The sequence below is a fragment of the Homo sapiens genome, chromosome 7, assembly GCF_000001405.40.
Source record: "Homo sapiens chromosome 7, GRCh38.p14 Primary Assembly".
In the NCBI taxonomy this organism is placed as follows: domain Eukaryota; kingdom Metazoa; phylum Chordata; class Mammalia; order Primates; family Hominidae; genus Homo; species Homo sapiens.
The window spans coordinates 45,304,961-45,327,429 of record NC_000007.14 but is presented as its reverse complement, the minus strand read 5'-3'; the positions used below and the strand labels follow the sequence as shown (position 1 = coordinate 45,327,429).

The window sequence follows — 22,469 nt, the reverse complement described above, 5'->3', positions numbered from 1 at the left end:
AATATGTGAGGCTCCATCACATAGGGGCTTTAATACCCTAATCCTCTACCACTATCAATCCTGCAGTAGCGGCAGCATCCCCCTTGTCATCTATGTCTAGAGTCTGAAAGGGGCATTTGTCATTTGTATAACTCAAATGACAGCCAACCTGTGGACAAAACAAATCAGCCAATTTTCTGCCTAAGTCCAAGATGCTGCTGCCTTTCAATCCTATAATGGGCAGGTCACCCTCAACTTCCCAGAAGGCAAGGGAAGAGAGTTGGAATGAAGTTGGCTGTTGGCCACACACCAACTGGGCAATGACTCAAAGGCAATGCTTTAGTTATCTTTAAGTTTAACATAATTTTCTCTGTCTACTCCCTGGTCATATCCCCATAGTCATGATGTTGGAATAAAAATAGCAAAATACCTTCAAGAATTGCCCAGAGAACTGAGAAACACTATAGCTCCCTGTTGCCCAGATTCCAGACACATTGCCTGGCCTTCAAGGTCAGGTCAGTGTAATAGACGAAGACACAATCTGGTCCTCCACTGTGTCTTCATCTATTATACTCTCCTGCTCACCTACCTCTGGTCACCCCGAGTGCATCTGTGTTTGTCAAATCTATCATACCTCTACAGCCTCCATGTTTTTGCTTATGGTGTCACTTTAGTTAGGAACACCTTTTCTCCTCTTCATTTAATACTGAAGTCTTTTATCAGTGCTCACAACTGCATCTCCTTTTGTTGTCATGTGGACAGGGATTTTCACCACTTTCTTCTCCCAGTTTTGACCGTATTTTATGTCCTTGTCATAACACTGAATGTGGGAATTAATATACAATTCATTCTCTACAGCAGAGGCAGCGTCCTCAGGGATAACAGTGTATACATTGTAACTGCTTAGAAAATTTGTCTTGAGGGCCGGGTGCTGTGGTTCATGCCTGTAATCCCAGAACTTTGGGAGGGCGAGGCAGGCGGATCACAAGGTCAGGAGATCAAGACCATCCTGACTAACACAGTGAAGCCCCATCTCTACTAAAAATACAAAAAATTAGCTGGGCGTGGTGGCAGGTGCCTGTAGTCCCAGCTACTCGGGAGGCTGAGGCAGGAGAATGGCGTGAACCCGGGAGGCGGAGCTTGAAGTGAGCTGAGTTCGCGCCACTGCACTCCAGCCTGGGTGACAGAGCAAGACTCCATCTCAAAATGAAAAAAAAAAAAGAAAATTTGTCTTGAATAAACAAAGGGGATCGTAAATTATTCAACAGAAGATTTTAGTAATGAACCAAATCATTTACACCTTTTTGAATTAAAAAGTGACCTTTTGAGGGTATGGCTGAAAACCTTTGATGTAATTGTTTTTTTTAAGTGACTCTGAAATTTTGGATAAAATTAGGCAAACTAGCTAGAGACATCGGGACTTAAAGAACTGCAATTCTTGTGTTCTTTTTGCCTCATATGTTCTGGACTGGGTGCTGACGAAGACAACAATCAGCATAGACAAAAAAAAAAAAAAAAAAAAAGCACCAAGGAAAGCCTGTTTTCTCCAGTTCAAAGGACCAGGAAAGAGAGGGCCTAGCAAGACAGAAAACTTATATACAATAACCACCCTCCTCCATCCAAACACTGCAGGAAACACTGTGGCCACACCACCATGCACACCACCAAAAGCCACGTGGGGACCCCAGACTTCCACTCCCTCAAGGCTGGAATGAGGCACCCTTACTTCCCTATGGGGTGGTATCAGAGAAGACCAAGTATAGAGCTGGGACCTTCATCTTCATGCTGCAGTAGTGAAGCTCCCTCCACTTCCTGCTAAGGTGATGTCACAGGAGGTCACCACCCATTGGCCACAAGGCCCTGACAAGCTGTATGTGGGGGACTATGTGGGAAGCGGCAAAGAGGTGCCCCTCCCCCTTCCAGTCCTGCTGTGTCAGCAGAGGCCTCAAAGGGAGCCTGGCTCCACCCCTGCCAGCAGGCATGAGGAGGTCCTGTACCTTCGGGGTGCAGATGGAGGACAACTTGAAACCCAGACTTGTACCCCAACTGCCAGAGAGAAACAGTGCCCCACTTTTCCAACCAGTGTAGTATCACAGGAGATATGCTAAAATAGAAGATTTAAATGAAATGAAGAGTCTCCTCATACCCATAATGCTCAGGATTCAATCTAAAATTATTTATCATCATAAGAACCTGAAAATCTCAACTGGAATGAAGATAGACAATGAACATGTTACCAGTGGCCAATCCATACAGGCCTGCTGCAACTCGATCCTTGCTTCCTCAGGGGAAAGAATTTAGCCGAGGGCCAGAAGTAGGTTTAAGGCAGAGGAGGAGACTAAGGCAAGTTTTATGGCAGGAGTGAGAGTTTATTAAAGTTTTAGAGCAAGAATGAAAGGAAGCAAAGTATACTTGGAAGAGGGCCAAGCAGGATACTTGAGAAATCAAGTGCACACCAGACCCTTGACTTGAGCTTTTATACATTGGCATGGTTCCAGGATTTGCATTTCTTCTCCCTTGATTCTTCCCATGGAGTGGGCTGTCCACATGTACAGTGGCCTGCCAGCACTTCGGAGGTGCCTCATGTGCAGTGTGTTTACTGAATTTGTGCACATGTTCACTTGAGGTTTTTTTCCCTTACCAGTCAAGCCTTGCCAGAGGAAGGTCATATACCAGTTAAAGTATGCCATTTTGCCTCTTAGTGCACATGCATGAGCCCCGTCACCCAACTCCTGAGATTGTATCCAGAAGTTGCTTATCACCAGCTCCAGGTATTTTCTGTCTATTGGGAAACTGCCTTTCCCTGGTGCTGACAGCCACCTGACCACCACCTGATGGTCATCTGACATTTCTTCGGGTTTTGGAGGAGGGGGGTGCATCTCTTGCCCTGCTCATGTCTGCCTAACCACCTACTCTAACAAACACATACCAATATCAAGATGACACAGATGTTTGAATTATTTGATAAGAATTTTAAGCAGGCCAGGTGTAATGGCTCACACCTATGTTCTCAACACTTTGGGAGGCCAAGGCGGGAGGAGTGCTTGAAGCCAGGAGTTCAAGACCAGCCTAGGTAACATAGTGAGACCTCCATCTCTACAAAAAAAAAATTTTTTTTTAATTAGCTAGGTGTGGTGGCATGCATGCCTGTAGTCCTAGATGCTTGGGAGGCTAAGGTGGGAAGATCACTTGAGCACAGGAGTCGAGGCTGCAGTGAACTATGATAATGCATTCCAGTCTGGTGGAGCAAGACCTGTGTCAAAAAAAAGAAAGAAATTTTAAGCCGTAACTACTGTTACCTATGCCATTATTGTGACTATGGTTACCACTATTACTACTACTATTCATGCCACTATTAAAATCACTACTACAGTTCTTCCTACTATTACTGCTATTACTACATAAACTACTATTACTCCTAGCACTATTGCTATTACTAGTATCACTATTATTTTTACCTGTACTACTCTTGCTACTGTGTCTACTATTGCCACCATATTATTATCACTACTATTACTATTGTTACTAATACAATTACTAGTACTATTAATACCACAATTACTCTTGCTACTACTCCTAATACTCTTACTGCTACTATAACTACCGTTGTAACTAACATTATTGCTACTATCACTCTTTTCACCTCTACTACAATCACTACTTCTATTACTATCACTAGTACTAATACGTTTATGAGTGGTACCAGTACCCATTTTCATTTGTACATCATTTTGTAAATCACATACTTTTTTTACTTCAAATTAAATGGAGTACAAGCTCAAACAAAGAGAGAGAACTTAAGTGATGAGGTAGGAGAAGCTAGAGAAAATAGTACTAACAAAAAATCAGATAGAAACCATCAATCCCACTTCCCCTGGCTCTTTTCCCTTTATGTTTTCTTTCCTTCCTCTTTACCCATAAACTGAAATTAGAGATTAGTTTATCTCCAACAGGCAGAAGTGTGTTTACCAAGCAGCTAACATCATAGCTCCAGGATCTCCATTTGCACAAGCACTGCTGGCTGCTGCTTTTGTAGAACTTCTAGGGGAGGAAGAGAAGACAAGTTGCTTTCAGGTAGCATTTCTAAATAAGTGTTTCTGGTAAACTGCCTAAGGAGCTCTCAGAAGAAAAGCACTGAATCTCCAAGCCTCCAGAAATTTGTTTTGATTTATTTCCTAATTCTAAAAAAGCATTCACTTTTGTACCAAAAAAAATTGAAGCAGCTATCATAAAAATACTTCAACAGGCAATAACATATGCACTTGAAACAAATGGAAACATAGGAAGCCTGAGCAAAGAATAGAAAACTTAAAGAACAACTAAAGAGAAATGTTAAGACTGAAAAACCCAGTAACCAAAATAAAAAACCTCAGTGCATAACAATAGAAAATACCCAGTCTGAACAAAAGAGAGAAAATAGACTGAAGAGAAATGAACAGAGCTCCTGGGACTTGTGTGACCATAACAAAACATCTTACATTTGTGTCATTGAAGTCCAAGGAAAAGAGAAGAAAGAGAGGAGGGCTAAAAAGTTTGAAAGAAATAATGACTGTAATTCCCTAAATTTGGCAAAAGATATAATAAACCTTCAGATTTAAGAGATTTAAGAAACTGAGCAAACTGAAAACGTCATAAACCCCTCTAAAACAATGCCAACTGACATCATAAACCAACTGCTAAAAACTGAAGACAGGAAAAAAAAATCACAAAAGCAGCAGGAGAGAAATGCCTCCTTATTTATAGAAGAGAAAAATATTCAAATGGCAGCAGATTTCTTATTAGAAACCATGGAAGTCAAAAGCAAGTGGGATAATATTTTTCAAGCACTATAAGAAAAGAACTGTTAAGATAGAATCCAATATCCAGTGAAAATACATTTCAGAAATTAGAGAGAAGAGAAGACATTTGCAAGTGAAAGAAATGTAAGAGATAGACCCACCCTGAAAGAATGACTATAGGAAGTTCTATAAACAAAAAGTATAAAAGACATAATTTTGGAAAATAAGGACAGTAGAAAGAAAAAGAATAATGGCATTTATAATGTATTTTCTTCCATTCTTGAGTGTTCTAAATTATATTTGACACGAAACAAAAATTATAAAATTTTCTTAAGTGGCTGCCCATGAATATAGAGGAAATATTTAAGATAAGTATACAGGAAGGAGAGAAAAGAAACTTAAAAAGAGATAAAGTTTCTATACCTCACACAAATATATATAAAAGGAATTTTTAAAATGTTCAAGTAACCCACAAGAAGGCAGAAAAAATAAAAACAGATCAAACAGAATAACAAAAAATAAAATTACACACTTAAGCATTAACATATCAACAACTATACTGAATATAAATGGTCTAATAAAATATTTTTTAAAAACAGACATTGGTAGAGTGAAGAAAAAAATACCAAAAGATATGCTGTTTACAAAAAATTCCCTTTAAATACAATAGAGGTAGAACTAAAGGAAAAGGATGTGTAAAGATACACCATGCCAAAATTAATCGAAAGAAAGCTAGGGTAGCAATATTAAAACCAGATAAGATAAGTTCCCAGGGATAGAGAGAAAGATTACATAATTAAAATGGGCCAGTCCCCTAAAATGCCATAGCAATCCAAATGTCTATGCACCAAACAACATAGCTGCAAAATACATGAAGAAAGAATGATAGAACTAAAAAAGGAGAAACGGAAAAATCTACAATTATAACTGGAGGCTTCCACACTCTTCTCTCAATAATTGACAGAATAACTAGACAGAAAATCAGGAAGAACATTGTATTAATCAGGATTCTCCAGAGAAAAAGAACCAATAAGATGTGTGTGTGTGTGTGAGTGTGTGTGTGTGTGTATATGTATGTGTGTCTGTAAAGAAACTTATTAAAAGGAATTGACTCAGTCAATTATGGAGGCTGGCAAATCCAAAATCTGTTGTGTGGGCTGGTAGGCTGGATAAAAAGGGGAGATAATGGCACAGATAAAATGTAAAAGCAGTCATCCAGAGAATTATTTCTTTTTTTTTATAATATATATATATTTTTAATTATACTTTAAGTTCTAGGGTATAGGTGCACAACGTGCAGGTTTTTTACATATGTATACAGGCGCCATGTTGGTGTGCTGCACCTATTAACTCGTCAATTACATTAGGTATATCTCCTAATGCTATCCCTTCCCCTCCCCCTACCCCACAACAAGCCCCAGTGTGTGCTGTTCCCCTTCCCATGTCTAAGTGTTCTCATTGTTCACTTCCCACCTATGAGTGAGAACATGCGGTGTTTGGTTTTTTGTCCTTGCGATAGTTTGCTCAGAATGATGGTTTCCAGCTTCATCCACGTCCCTATAAAGGACATGAACTCATCCTTTTTTATGGCTGCGTAGTATTCCATGGTGTATATGTGCCACATTTTCTTAATCCAGTCTATCATTGTTGGACATTTGGGTTGCTTCCAAGTCTTTGCTATTGTGAATAGTGCCACAATAAACATACGTGTGCATGTGTCTTTATAGCAGCATGATTTATAATCTTTTGGGTATATACCCAGTAATGGGATGGCTGGGTCAAATGGTATTTCTAGTTCTAGCTCCTTGAGGAATCACCACACTGTCTTCCATAATGGTTGAACTAGTTTACAGTCCCACCAACAGTGTAAAAGTGTTCCTATTTCTCCACATCGTCTCCAGCATCTGTTGTTTCCTGACTTTTTAATGATCGCCATTCTAACTGGTGTGAGATGGTATCTCATTGTGGTTTTCATTTGCATTTCTCTGATGGCCAGTGATGAAGAGCATTTTTTCATGTGTCTGTTGGCTGCATAAATGTCTTCTTTTGAGAAGTGTCTGTTCATATCCTTCACCCACTTTTTGATGGGGTTATTTTTTTCTTGTAAATTTGTTTGAGTTCTTTGTAGATTCTGGATATTAGCCCTTTGTCAGATGAGTAGATTGCAAAAATTTTTTCCCATTCTGTATGTTGCCTATTCACTCTGATGGTAGTTTCTTTTGCTGTGCAGAAGCTCTTTAGTTTAATTAGATCCCATTTGTCAATTTGGCTTTTGTTGCCATTGCTTTTGGTGTTTTAGACATGAAGTCCTTGCCCATGCCTATGTCCTGAATGGTATTGCCTAGGTTTTCCTCTAGGGTTTTTATGGTTGTAGGTCTAACATGTAAGTCTTTAATCCATCTTGAATCAAGTTTTGTATGAGGTGTAAGGAAGGGATCCAGTTTCAGCTTTCTACATATGGCTAGCCAGTTTTCCCAGCACCATTTATTAAATAGGGAATCCTTTCCTCATTTCTTGTTTTTGTCAGGTTTGTCAAAGATCAGATGGTTGTAGATGTGTGGTATTATTTCTGAGGGCTCTGTTCTGTTCCATTGGTCTATAGCTCTGTTTTGGTACCAGTACCATACTGTTTTGGTTACTATAGCCCTGTAGTATAGTTTGAAGTCAGGTAGTGTGATGCCTCCAGCTTTGTTCTTTGGGCTTAGGATTGTCTTGGTAATATGGGCCGTTTTTTCATTCCATATGAACTTTAAAGTAGTTTTTTCCAATTCTGTGAAGAAAGTCATTGGTAGCTTGATGGGGATGGCATTGAATCTATAAATTACCTTGGGCAGTATGGCCATTTTCACCATATTGATTCTTCCTATGCATGAGCATGGAATGTTCTTCCATTTGTTTGTGCCCTTTTTTATTTCATTGAGCAGTGGTTTGTAGTTCTCCTTGAAGAGGTCCTTCACATCCCTTGTAAGTTGGATTCCTAGGTATTTTATTCACTTTGAAGCAATTGTGAATTGGAGTTCACTCATGATTTGGCTCTCTGTTTGTCTGTTATTGGTGTATAAGAATGTTTGTGATTTTTGCACATTGATTTTGTATCCTGAGACTTTGCTGAAGTTGCTTATCAGCTTAAGGAGATATTGGGCTGAGACGATGGGGTTTTCTAGATACACACTCATGTCATCTGCAAAGAGGGACAATTTGACTTCCTCTTTTCCTAATTGAATACCCTTTATTTCTTTCTCCTGCTTGATTGCCCTGGCCAGAACTTCCCAACACTATGTTGAATAGGAGTGGTGAGACAGGGCATCCCTGTTTTGTGCCAGTTTTCAAAGGGAATGCTTCCAGTTTTTGCCCATTCAGTATGATATTGGCTGTGGGTTTTTCATAAATAGCTCTAATTATTTTGAGATACTCCCATCAATACCTAATTTATTGAGAGTTTTTAGCATGAAGGGCTGTTGAATTTTGTCAAAGGTCTTTTATGCATCTATTGAGATAATCATGTGGTTTTTGTCTTTGGTTCTGTTTATATGCTGGATTACATTTATTGATTTGCGTATGTTCAACCAGCCTTGCATCCCAAGGATGAAGCCCTCTTGATCATGGTGGATAAGCTTTTTGATGTGCTGCTGGATTCGGTTTGCCAGTATTTTATTGAGGATTTTTGCATCGATGTTCATCAGGTATATTGGTCTAAAATTCTCTTTTTTGGTTGTGTCTCTGCCAGGCTTTGGTATCAGGATGATGCTGGCCTCATAAAATGAGTTAGGGAGGATTCCCTCTTTTTCTATTGATTGGAATAGTTTCAGATGGAATGGTATCAACTCCTCTTTGTACCTCTGGTAGAATTCAGCTGTGAATCCGTCTGGTCCTGGAGTTTTTTTGGTTGGTAGGTTATTAATTATTGCCTCAATTTCAGAGCCTGTTATTTGTCTATTCAGGGATTCAACTTCTTCCTGATTTAGTCTTGGGACAGTGTGTGTGTCGAGGAATTTATCCATTTCTTCTAGATTTTCTAGTTTATTTGCGTAGAGGTGTTTGTAGTATTCTCTGATGGTAGTTTGTATTTCTGTGGGATTCGTGGTGATATCCCCTTTATCATTTTTTATTGCATCTATTTCATTCTTCTCTCTTTTCTTCTTTATTAGTCTTGCTAGTGGCCCATCAATTTTGTTGATCTTTTCAAAAAACCAGCTCCTGGATTCATTGATTTTTTGAAGGGTTTTTTATGTCTCTATCTCCTTCAGTTCCGCTCTGATCCTAGTTATTTCTTGCCTTCTGCTAGCTTTGAATGTGTTTGCTCTTGCTTCTCTAGTTCTTTTAATTGTGATGTTATGGTGTCAATTTTGGATCTTTCCTGCTTTCTCTTGTGGGCATTTAGTGCTATAAATTTCCCTCTACACACTGCTTTAAATGTGTCCCAGAGATTCTGGTATGTTGTGTCTTTGTTCTCACTGGTTTCAAAGAACATCTTTATTTCTGCCTTCATTTCGTTATGTACCCAGTAGTCATTCAGCAGCAGGTTGTTCAGTTTCCATGTGGTTGAGCAGTTTTGAGTGAGTTTCTTAATCCTGAGTTCTAGTTTGATTGCACTGTGGTCTGAGAGACAGTTTGTCACAATTTCTGTTCTTTTACATTTGCTGAGGAGTGCTTTACTTCCAACTATGTGGTCAATTTTGGAATAAGTGTGATATTGTGCTGAGAAGAATGTATATTCTGTTGATTTGGGGTGGAGAGTTCTGTAGATGTCTATTAAGTCCGCTTGGTGCAGAGCTGAGTTCAATTCCTGGATATCCTTGTTAACTTTCTGTCTTGTTGATCTGTCTAATGTTGACAGTGGGGTGTCGAAGTCTCCCATTATTATTGTGTGGGAGTCTAAGTCTCTTTGTAGGTCTCTAAGGACTTGATTTATGAATCTGGGTGCTCCTGTATAGGGTCCATATACATTTAGGATAGTTAGCTCTTCTCATTGAATTGATCCCTTTACCATTATGTAATGGCCTTCTTTGTCTCTTTTGATCTTTGTTGGTTTTAAGTCTGTTTTATCAGAGACTAGGATTGCAACCCCTGCCTTTTTTTGTTTTCCATTTGCTTGGGAGATCTTCCTTCATCCCTTTATTTTGAGCCTATGTGTGTCTCTGCACATGAGATGGGTCTCCTGAATACAGCACACTGATGGGTCTTGACTCTTTATCCAATTTGTCAGTCTGTGTCTTTTAATTGGAGCATTTAGCCCATTTACATTTAAGGTTAATATTGTTATGTGGGAATTTGATCCTGTCTTTATGATGTTAGCTGGTTATTTTGCTCGTTAGTTGATGCAGTTTCTTCCTAGCATCGATGGTCTTTACAATTTGGCATGTTTTTGCAGTGGTTGGTACCGGTTGTTCCTTTTCATGTTTAGTGCTTCCTTCAGGAACTCTTTTAGGGCAGGCCTGGTGGTGACAAAATCTCTCAGCATTTGCTTGTCTGTAAAATATTTTATTTCTCCTTCACTTATGAAGCTTAGTTTGGCTGGATATGAAATTCTGGGTTGAAAATTCCTTTCTTTAAGAATGTTGAATATTGGCCCCCACTCTTTTCTGGCTTGTAGAGTTTCTGCTGAGAGATCAGCTGTTAGTCTGATGGGTTTCCCTTTGAGGGTAACCCAACCTTTCTCTCTGGCTGCCCTTAACATTTTTTCCTTCATTTCAACTTTGGTGAATCTGACAATTATGTGTCTTGGAGTTGCTCTTCTTGAGGAGTATCTTTGTGGCATTCTCTGTATTTCCTGAATTTGAATGTTGGCCTGCCTGGCTACATTGGGGAAGTTCTCCTGGAAAATATCCTGAAGAGTGTTTTCCAACTTGGTTCCTTTCTCCCTGTCACTTTCAGGTACACCAATCAGACGTAGATTTGGTCTTTTCACATAGTCCCATATTTCTTGGAGGCTATGTTCATTCCTTTTTACTCTTTTTTCTCTAAACTTCTCTTCTCACTTCATTTCATTCGTTTGATCTTCCATCACTGATACCCTTTCTTCCAATTGATCGAATCAGCTACTGAAGCTTGTGCATTCGTCACATAGTTCTCGTGCCATGTTTTTCAGCTCCATCAGGTCATTTAAGGACTTCTCTACATTGGTTATTCTAGTTAGCCATTCGTCTAATTTTTTTCAAGGTTTTTAACTTCTTTGCGTTGAGTTTGAACTTCCTCCTTTAGCTTGGAGAAGTTTGATTGTCTGAAGCCTTCTTCTCTCAACTCGTCAAAGTCATTCTCCATCCAGTTTTGTTCCATTGCTGGCAAAGAGCTACATTTCTTTGGAGGGGGAGAGGAGCTCTGATTTTTAGAATTTTCAGCTTTTCTGCTCTGTTTTTTCCCCATCTTTGTGGTTTTATCTACCTTTGGTCTTTGATGCTGGTGACATACAGATGGGTTTTTGGTGTGGATGTCCTTTCTGTTTGTTAGTTTTCCTTCTAACAGTCAGGAGCCTCAGCTGCAGGTCTGTTGGAGTTTGCTGGAGGTCCACTCCAGACCCTGTTTGCCTGGGTATCTGCAGCGGAGGCTGCAGAACAGCAAATATTGCTGAAGAGCATATGTTGCTGCCTGATCATTCCTCTGGAAGCTTCGTCTCAGAGGGGTACTGGCCATGTCAGGTGTCAGTCTGCCCCTACTCGGGAGTGCCTCCCAGTTAGGCTACTCGGGGGTCAGGGACCCACTTGAGGGGGCAGTCTGTCCATTCTCAGATCTCAAACTCTGTGCTGGGAGAACCACTACTCACTTCAAAGCTGTCAGACAGGGACATTTAAGTCTGCAGAGGTTTCTGCTGCCTTTTGTTCGGCTATGCCCTGCCCCCAGAGGTGGAATCTACAGAGGCAGGCAGGCCTCCTTGAGCTGCAGTGGGCTCCACCCAGTTGGAGCTTCCTGGCCACTTTGTTTACCTACTCAAGCCTCAGCAATGGTGGCCGCCCCTCCCCCAGCCTTGCTGCTGCCTTGCAGATCAATCTCAGACTGTTGCGCTAGCAAAGAGCGAGGCTCCATGTGCATGGGACCCACTGAGCCAAGTGCGGGATATAATCTCCTGGTGTGCCGTTTGCTAAGATGGTTGGAAAAGCACAGTATTAGGGTAGGAGTGACCCAATTTTCCAGGTGCCGTCCTTCACCTCTTCCCTTGGCTAGGAAAGGGAATTCCCTGATCCCTTGCACTTCCTGGGTGAGGTGATGCCTCGCCCTGCTTCAGCTCTCACTCAGTGGGCTGCACCCACTGTCCTGCCCCCAGTGTCTGACATGCCCCAGTGAGATGAACCCAGTACCTCAATTGGAAATGCAGAAATCACCCGTCTTCTGCATCGCTCATGCTGGGAGCTGTGGACTGGAGCTGTTCCTATTTGGCCATCTTGGAACCGCCCCCAGAGAATTATTTCTTGCTTGATGAGGCTGGTCTTTTTGTTCTGGGCAGGCCTTCAACTGATTGGATAAGGCCCACTTGCACTAGGTAAGACAATCTGCTTTACTCAAAGTTCAGCGATTTACATGCTAATTTCATCAAAAAATACCCTCCAGGTTTGCACATAAAATTAGTCATCATAAATATAGAAGTACTCAACAACACCATCAACCAAAAGGATCTAATTTGCATTTCTAGAACACTCTACCTCACTACAGCAGAATGCACATTATTTTTTACACATTTACCAAGCTACACCATATCTTGAGCCATAAACAAACCTCACCAAAAAAGAATTAAAATTATACACAGTAAGTTCTGTGATCACAGTGGAATCATATTGGAAATCAATAACAGAAAGATAACTGGAAAATCTCCACAACCTGATAAATTAAACAACTAATCCATGACTCAAAAAGGAAGTTTCAGGGAAATTTTTAAAATACTTAGAACTGACTTAAAATTTGTGAGACACAGATAAAACAGTGCCAAAAGAGAAATTTATAGCATTGAATCCTTACATTAAAAAGGAAGAAAAATCTCAACTACATAATCCAAGCTCCCACTTCAAGAAACTAGAATAAAAGAAAAATGAACCCAAAGAAACACAATGAAGGAAATACTTTTAAGAAGCACAGATATCAGTGAAATTATGATCAGAAAAGCAACAGAAAAAATCAATGTGACAAAAAGCTAGTTTTTAAAAAAGACCATTAAAATTAACCAACTTCTATCAAGACTGACAAAAAAAAAAAAACCCAGAGAAGACACATGCAACTAATATTGAAACTGGAACAGGGAATATCACTACACACTTACTAGGCATCAAAAGAATAATAAAAGAATACTTGAAAAAAGAACACTCAAAAATTTGACAACTTAGATAAAACAGACCAATCTTTGAATGGCACAAACTACCAAAATTACTCAATATGAAGAAGATAATTTGAATATCCCTATAACTATTAAAGGAATCAAATTCACAACTTAAAAACAGACAAAAAAGAAACCTGCAAGCTTAACTGATTTCACCACATAATTCTACTAAATATTGATAGAAGAAACAGTACATTTTTACAAAATCTCCTCCAGAAAAGAGAAGAGGAGAAAACACTTCCCAACTCACTTTATGAGGTCAGTAGTACTTTGATACCAAAATTAGAAAAAGATAGTACCAAAACTGAAAATATACACCCAAATCTCTCAGGAACATAGATTCAAATGTTCTTAATAAATTATTAACAAATTAAACTCAGCAATATATAAAAATAATTATATGGCATGACCAACTAAGTTTTATTCCAGGGATACAATGCTAATTCAGTATTTGAAATTCAATCAATGCAATTCCCCATATGAACACTCTAAAGAAGAAAAATCATATGATAATATCAAAAAATTCAGAAAAACACTTGACAAAATTTAACACCAATTTATGATAAAGACATTCTGAAAACTAGGAACGGAGAGGAAATTTCTGTACTTGATAAAGAACATCTACTCAAGGAAAAAAAAATCCTATAGGTAATATCATACATAATGGTGATAGACTTAATGTTTTCCCCCTAATTGGGAACAAAGCAATAATGTCTTCTCCCAGCACTCTTATTTAACATAGTAATGAAAATCTAGCCAGACAGGCAAGAAAAGAAAGTATGTAGAAAATCACGAAGAATTTTTTTTTTAACCCTAGACTAACAAAAGAGTTCACTAATGTCTCAGGACACAAAATGAAGATACAAAAATTAAATATATTTCTATATACTAATAATTAACATGTTAGAACCAAAATAAAAAAAATCAATACCCTTTGCAATCACTTAAAAATGAAATACTAAGCAATAATTCTAATAAAGCATTGACAGGGCTTGTACACAAAAAGCTACAATATGCTGATGAAAGAAATCAAAGAAGGTCTCAATAAACTGCAAGATATATCATGCTCATGGATTGGAAGACTCAATATAGTAGTCTTCAATTATCCCTGAATTGATATATAGGCTTAATATAATTTTACCAAAATCCCAATAACATATTTTACATATATTGACCAGCTTATTCTAAAATTTATATGTAAGGGGAAAGGAACTAGCTTAAAAAGTTTTTTTCAAAGCAAGAAAACATGTAAAGATCACTCTACCTGATGCTAAGACTTATGGTATGGCTACAGTAATCGAGACAGTATAGTGTTGCAGAGGTATAGACACATAGATCAGTGGACAGAATAAAGAACCCAGAAATATGCTCACAAATACATCCAGCTGAATTTTTAGAAAAGAGCAAGAATCTAAGTAGAGGGGAAAATAGCCTTTTCAACAATGGCACTGGAGCATTTAGACAGCCATAGCCAAAAAAAAAAAATTACTTTGATTTAAACCTTATACTTTTTGTAAAATTAACTCAAATGGATCATAGTTTTAAATATAAAATGTCAGAAGCTTCAAGACGGCTGAGTAGAGACACCTGACATTCACCTCCTCCACAAAGAAGAACAAAAATAACGAGTAGATAATCACACTTCAAATGGATCATCAAATAGAGAATACTGGAATTCAACATAGAAGTGACAGGAAACACCTAAAGCAAGGAAGTAAATGGAAGCAAGGCAGCCTGCTCAGCCAGGATCATCTGGGAGCCCAGAGAGGCTCCCCAGTGTGGGAAAAGGGTAAATGAGAGACTCCCAATTGTCCACATTCCCATCACAGACTCCTCCAATCCTAGCCATGGGAAAGGCCCTTGACCCTTGTGTGTCCTGAGACTGATATAGAGAGCTGCCTAGAGACTGTGTGGTGATGTTGCTCCAGAGAGGGAGCTCATGCCAGGTCCCATACTCCCCCTGACTCCTAAGCAGCTACAGTGCAGGACTATTTTGGAAGCTCAGCCCCCATCATACTGAATCTGGCCCTGGGGCCAAAAGCCTCTGCATCTCCACATCCCTGGAACTCCACTGACATCCCCCACCTGCAGCCACCATTGCTGCTGGATGATGCCACTGGGGTAGAAGTGCATGCCACTAGCAGCAACCCCACTACCTTCAGCACTGGGGCCACAGTGCATTTACAAATGCCCTGAGGATAGGCTCTCCTGCCTGCATCTGCCACTGCTGCTGCCTGCTGCCTCCGGGTGCTAAAGTGCACCTCACTGACAGTGACACTGCCACCCACAGCCACAGAGCCACCACACATTTACAAACACCCTGAGGACAGCACCCCTGCCCACAGCTGTCACTGTGGGCTGCTGCTACTGGGACCAAAGCACAAGCCACTGGCAGCAACCCCCCAATCATTAGCTATGGGGCCACTATACATTTACAAGCACCCTGAGGACAGGCTATCCCACCCGCAGCCACCACCTGGAGCAGAAATGCGAGCTCCCCAGCTACCTGCCCATAGCTGCTGACACTGAAAGCAACCCTGCCCTCACCAGGAGTAGGACTGCAGTGCAGCCACTGCCATCCCCATCTGAGCACCTTACCAGAGGCCTAGGGATCACCACACCCCTACCACCACAGCCGGCAACCATATGCACCACTGGGGGTCACGAAGACAGGCCTGCCCAGCCTGGCCCCACTCACCTCCCCAATGCCCAAGCACACCATCTAGGTGCCTCGGGATCATCTTTCCCTGTTAGGCACTTCTGAGCACTTTTCCCAGAAGCCTGAAGACAGGCTCACACAGCCTACAACTAACACCAGAGCTGGCACTTACTTGCGCATGCCACCTTCAGGCCAGAAGACTGATCTGCCCAGCCCATTATAACCACCACCACCATCAGTGCAAACCACTTGGGAGCCACAGGGTTGTCCCACCACTGCTATTGCCATTGCTCACACCACACCTGCTGCTCAGAAGCCTGAACATTCTCCCACCTGTCAAGTCCACTGCTGCCACTGCAGACACCCAAGAAAGATGCCTGGACCCACTAAAACTGGTTCCAGTCTACACCACTTTGGGAACCAAAGATGTTCATACTAAGCCCACCATCGCCCCCATTGGCGCCTGAGCACAGGCCCAATCCCCATCTCTGTCCCCAGCAAAAATTCACCACAGCCTCCACTAACAACTACACTTTGAGCCACTGAGAAGATCATAAATGCCACTCATGCTGTTGAAAGCCAAACAAATTATATGGAGAATACACCATGGCAAACACCCAGAATCAAAGCCAAAGTGCCCTACTCAACGAATATCATAGATACATCTTCAGGAAAAAAAGTCCTCCCTTATGAAAGCAAATCCAAAAAAATTGGAAGAAGTAACTGTTACACCAGATGCACAAATATCAATGTAAGAACACAAGAAACATGAAAAAGTAAGGAAATATTATACTTCTAAGAGAACACAATAGTTCTCCAGTAACAAGTTCTAATAGAAAAAAAAAACTTATAAATTCCCAGAAAAAGAACTCAAATTAATAATATTAAGGAAGCTTTGTGGGACACAAGAGAACACAGGTAAACAATATAAAGAAATCAGAAAAATAATTCAGGATATCAATGAAAAAATTATCAAAGAGATAGATATCAAAAAAGAACCACACAGAAATCCTAGAAATGAAGAGTTCATTGAACAAAATAAAAATTACATTTGAAAGTTTTAGTCCAGGTGCAGTGGCTCACACCTGTAATCCCAGCACTTTGGGAGGCCAAGGCAGGTGGATCACCTGAGGTCAGTTTGAGACCAGCCTGACTAACATGGCAAAATCCCATCTCTACTAAAAATACAAAAATTATCCGGGCGTGGTGGCGCACACCTGTAATCCCAGCTGCTCCGGAGGCTGAGGCAGAAGAATCGCTTGAACCTGGGAGGCAGAGGTTGCAGTGAGCCAAGATCAAGCCATTGCACACCAGCTTGGGTGACAAGAGCAAAACTCCCTCAAAAAAAAAAAAAAAATTTCAACAACAGATCAAGCAGAAGAATTTCAGAACTTGAAGACAGGTCTATTGAAGTTACCTACTTGGACAAAAAAGTAAAGAAAAATAAATTTTAAAACCAAAGAACAAAGTCTACATGACATTTGAGACACCATAAATTGACCAAATATTCAAATTTTTGGTGTCCTAGAAGACAAAGAGACCAAAGGGCTAGAAAGCCTACTTAATGAAATAATAGCTGAAAACTTCCCAAGTGTAGCAAGAGATTTAAACATCCATATACAGAAAGCTAAGAGATCCCTAAATAGATACAATTGAAAAAGATCTTCTCTATGGCACATTAGAGTCAAACTGTCAAATGACAAAGAGAGAATTCTAGAAACAGCAAAAGTAAAACATCTAGGTACTTATAAAAGAATACCCATGAGACTAACAGCAGATTTCTCAGCAGAAACTTTACAAGGCAGGAGAGAATTAGATGATATATTCAAAGTGCTGGGAGGAAAAAACTGCCAGCTGAAGGCACCAAACTCAGCAGAGTTATCTTTCATAAATGAAGGTGAAATAAATTCTTTCCCAGACAAGCAAAAGCTCAGAGAATTCATCACCACTAGACCAGCTCTACAAGAAATGCTTAAAGGAGACTTCCATCTGGAAATGAAAGAATGATATCTACCATCATGAAAATACATGAAAGTATAAAATCCGCTGGTAAAGCAAACACACAAATAAGAAAGAGAAAGGCCTTAATGTTACCATTACAGAAAATCATCAAACCATAATGATAAATAATAAGAGAGAAAAAACAAAGCATATACAAAAAAAAAATTAATAAAGTTATAGGAATAAGACATCATATATCAATAATAACCCTGAATGTAAATACATCAAATTTTCTGCTTAAAAGATATGGACTGGCTGAATGGATGAAAAAAACATAACCTAACTATATGCTGCCTATGAGAAATTCAATTCACCTATAATGACACATATAAAGTGAAAGGAAAGAGATAGAAAAATATATCTCATGCAAACAAACACCAAAAGTGAGCAGGAGTAGCTAAACTTATATCAGATAAAACAGACCTTAAGTCAGAAACAATAAAAACAGACAAAGAAGGTCATTATATAATGATAAAGGGATCACTTCAGCAAGAGGATGTAACAATTCTAAACCTCTATGCACCCAAAACTGGAACATCCAGATATATAAAGCAAATATTATTAAATCTAAAGAGAGAGAGACTCCAACACAATAATAGTTAGGCATGTCAATAACCCCACTCTCAGCCTTGGACAGATCTTTTAGACAGAACAAAGAAATACTGGATTTAAACTGCACTTTACACCAAAAGGACCAAACAAACATTTACAGAAAATTCACCCAATAGCTACAGAATACACATTCTTCTCATCAGCATATGGAACATTCTCTAGGATAGATTATATGTTAAGACACAAAACAATTCCCAACAAATTTTTAAAAACCAAAATTATATCAAGTATCTTCTCAGGTCACAATAGAATAAAACTAGAAATAAATAACAAAAGGAACTCTGAAAACTGTACAAATACTTGGAAATTAAGCAACGTACTCCTGAATGATGATTGGGTCAAGGAAGAAATTAAGAAGAAATTTTTAAAATTTCTTGAAACAAGTGAAAAATCAAAACATAACATATCAAAACCTATGGATACAGCAAAAGTAGTGCTAAGAGGAAGGTTTATAGCAATAAATACCTACATCAAAATAATAGAAAAATTTCAAATAAACAATATACTGATGCACCTCAAGGTATGAGAAAAGCAAAAACAAAACAAACCCAAAATTAGTAGAAGGAAAGAAATAATAAAGATCAGAGCAGAACTAAATGAAGTAGACTTATAAAAATAAAGAATCAATGAAATGAAAAGGTTTTTTTAAAGATAAACAAAATTGATAAACTCCTAGCTAGACCAACAAAGAAAGAAAGATGACTTCCATTCTTTACACCTGCTTGACACCATGTGGAAGCCACCGAAGCTTATAGTTTGCACCCTCCAGAGCAGCAACCCAAGCTGTACTTGGGCCACTTTGACGAAAGGCTAGAGCTGAAGTGGCTGGAATGCAGGCAGTAGTGTCCTGAGGGTAAGCAGGACAGCAGTATCCTGGACCTGGCCCCTGAAACCATTCTTTCTTCCCAGGCCTCTAGGCCTGGGATAGGAGGGGCTGTCCTGAAGACTTCTGAAATGCCTTCAAGTCTTTTTTTCTATTGTCTTGGATATTAGCACTTGGTTCCCTTTTAATTAGCCTGCTTGGATACTTTCTCTACCACAGGGCCAGGCTGCAAATTTTTCAAATTTTTATATTCAAATTTTTACATTCACTATTTTGCTCCCGTATCTGGTTGTAGGCAGTTAGAAGCAACCATACCACATCTCAAATGTTTTGCTGCTTAGAAATTTCTTCCATCAGATACTCTAGGTTATCACTCTTAACTTCAAGTTTCCACAGATCCCTAGGGCTTGGACACAATGCAGCTAAGTTCTTTGCTAGGGCATAAAATAGGTGATCTTTACTCTAGTTTCCAGTAACTTCCTCATTTCCATCTGAGACCTCATCAGCCTGGCCTTCACTGTCCACATTTCTATGATTTTGGTCAGAACCATTTAACCAGTCTTCAAGAACTTCCAAATTTTCCCTCATCTTCCTGTCTTCTGAGTCCTCCAAACTCTTCCAGTCTCTGCCTGTTAACCAGTTCCAAAGCTGCTTCTGCACTTTCAGGTATCTTTATAGCAATGCCCCAATTATTAGTATCTGTTCTTTGTGTTAGTCCATTTATGTTGCTCTAAAGCAAGGGTCTCCAACCCCAGGGCCATGGACCAGTACTGGTCCGTGGCCTGTTAGGAACCAGGCCGCACAGCAGGAGGTGAGCAGCAGGTAAGTGAGCATTACTGACTGAGTTCCACCTCTTGTCAGATCAGGAGCAGCATTAGATTCTCATAGGAGCACAAACCCTATTGTGAACCGCACATGTGAAGGATTGAGGTTGCATGTTCCTTATGAAAATCTAATGCCCCCCCACCCCCCACCCCAAGTCCATGGAAAACTTGTCTTCCACAAAACCAATCCCTGGTTCCAAAAAGGTTGGGGACCACTGCTCTAAAGGCAGACCAGAGGCTGGGCAATTTATAAGGAAAAAAACTTTATTTTGGCACGTGGCTCTGCAGGCTGTAAAGCATGGTGCCAACATGTGCTCTTTAGTGATGCCTCAGGAAACTCACAATCATGCCAGAAGGTGATGAGGAGCCAGTGACACGTGGCAAAATGGAGCAAGAGAGAGAGAAGGGGGAGATCCTGGACTCTTTTAAACAACCGGATCTCACATGAACTACTTGAGCAAGAACTCACTTATCACCAAGGGAATAGTGCTAAGCCATTCACAAGAGATTGACTCCCATGATTCAGTCACCTCCCACTATGCCCCACCTCCAACACTGGGAGTCACATTTCAACATGAGATTTGGAAAGGACAAACATCCAAACCATATCAGATGTATCCACTGGGAAAAACTGAGTAACAGGTGCACACAACCTCTCTTTCCCATTTTTGCAACTTCCTGGGAATCTATAATTATTTCAAAATAAAAAGTTACAAAACAACTTTTTAGGCATTTCAGATATAAGAATATTTTAGTGAAAACTGGTTCCAAATTCTTAAAGTTAGCATTAGTATCTTTCTTATTACTCTGAATGTGACAAGGATAATCCTACATTCTCATCATCTTTTCTTAGAAACTAAACAGATTCATGTGTCCAAAATAAGTCAATTTTAACTAAACCTAGTTTACTTTACATAAATCCCTCAATATTTCCTTGAACTATCTATGTTTTAGTCTTGCAGTAGAATTCTAAAGCAATCTCACTGTGCCCATCCCTGGTCCACCCACATAACTACAGCCTAAGGTACCATGCTAGTGCAGTGATCCAGTGGGAACATGACCCAGGCTGAGCTCTTCTTTCTCCATAAACGTTGGCTCCAATGCAGAGAAGTGTCTCTCCCTGTGACTGAACATACTGTGGGCAGCTTGCTCCTTCCAAGCAGCTGGTCTAGAGAGAGAGACAGGAGTCTGGTGACAGAGATGCAATGTAGAGAGAGCATCTTTTTGAAAGTCCCTCAGTTCCTTTTGGGGCACATGACCACACTTAGAGGAGAAGGCTCTCACGGGTACATCTTCAGCCAATCCTTAGGCTGTGTAGGATGTCTGCAAAAGCAGGATGTTAATACTGGTTATCTCTTGGAGATGGGATTATGATTGACATGTTTATTTTTTTCAACTTTTCTTTATTTCCCAATTTTCAAGCATTGTAAAAATTGACATACATACCTTTAGGATTTTTTTTTTTTTTTTGAGACGGAGTCACTCTGTCGCCCAGGCTGGAATGCAGTGGCATGATCTCAGCTCACTGCAAGCTCCGCCTCCCAAGTTCATGCCATTCTCCTGCCTCAGCCTCCCAAGTAGCTGGGACTACAGGGGCCCGCCACCACACCCAGCTAATTTTTTGTATTCTTTAATACAGAAGGGGTTTCACCATGTTAGCCAGGATGGTCTCGATCTCATGACCTTGTGATCCACCTGCCTTGGCCTCCCAAATTGCTGGGATTACAGGCGTTAGCCACTGCGCCTGGCCACATACCTTTAGGTTTTCAATGTGTTCATTTTGGTGTTTCAGCTCCTGAAATAAATGCTACCATGAAAGGCAAATATTGGGCAGACTTGTATCTGGGAACAGTTTCTCTGTGTTTCAACCAGAAAATACTCACTCCCTCTCTGCCTCATTCCCAAGGAAATTTGTTATGGATTAGTCAAGTTCAATGAAACATTTGGGGCTTTGTTTTCTCTACAACATTTTTCAAACTTTAACGTGCCTAAAGATCACATGATGATATTATCACACCTGATTCTAATCCAGGGAGTCTGGAACAGGGCTTGAGATTCTGCATTTCCAACAGGCTCCCAGTCCTACACGTTACAGAGCAGGGCACACTGAAAATGCCAATCAGCCTAGACGAATGTCCACCCTGTCCTTTTGGATGTGCTTTTCTTGTGAAGTCGGCACTGGAGTCTTCCACTACAGAGCCTTCCACATCCTGCTCACTCACAACTACCTGCTACCTCCACACAGATAACAAATACCCTAGGAAGAGGTCCCATCTCCCCCATAATTTTATCCCCTCACCTGCTCACCTACAGCCAACTCCACTCTGGACATCGGGGTGCCCTGTCTTACTCTGGCTGCCTTCTTTTTTAAAAAATTAAAGTAAAATTTACCTATCATAAAATTAGCCAATTTAAAGTGTACAAACCAGTGGCATTTAGTATATTCACAATGTTGTGCAAGTATCACCTGTAGTCCCAAAACATTTCATCA

The 22,469-nt window shown here is 40.1% G+C and overlaps 1 long non-coding RNA gene across 1 annotated transcript; it reads right to left on the bottom strand.

Annotated features, from left to right (window-relative positions):
* Window positions 1-2,327: 2,327 nt before the first annotated feature.
* On the bottom strand, window positions 2,328-21,301 carry LOC124901624 (uncharacterized). Its single transcript, XR_007060302.1, has 2 exons — window positions 21,007-21,301; window positions 2,328-3,232 (listed from the first exon to the last, which is right to left on the bottom strand). It is a non-coding gene; the product is annotated as an uncharacterized LOC124901624 (long non-coding RNA).
* Between the last annotated feature and the right edge of the window lie 1,168 nt (window positions 21,302-22,469).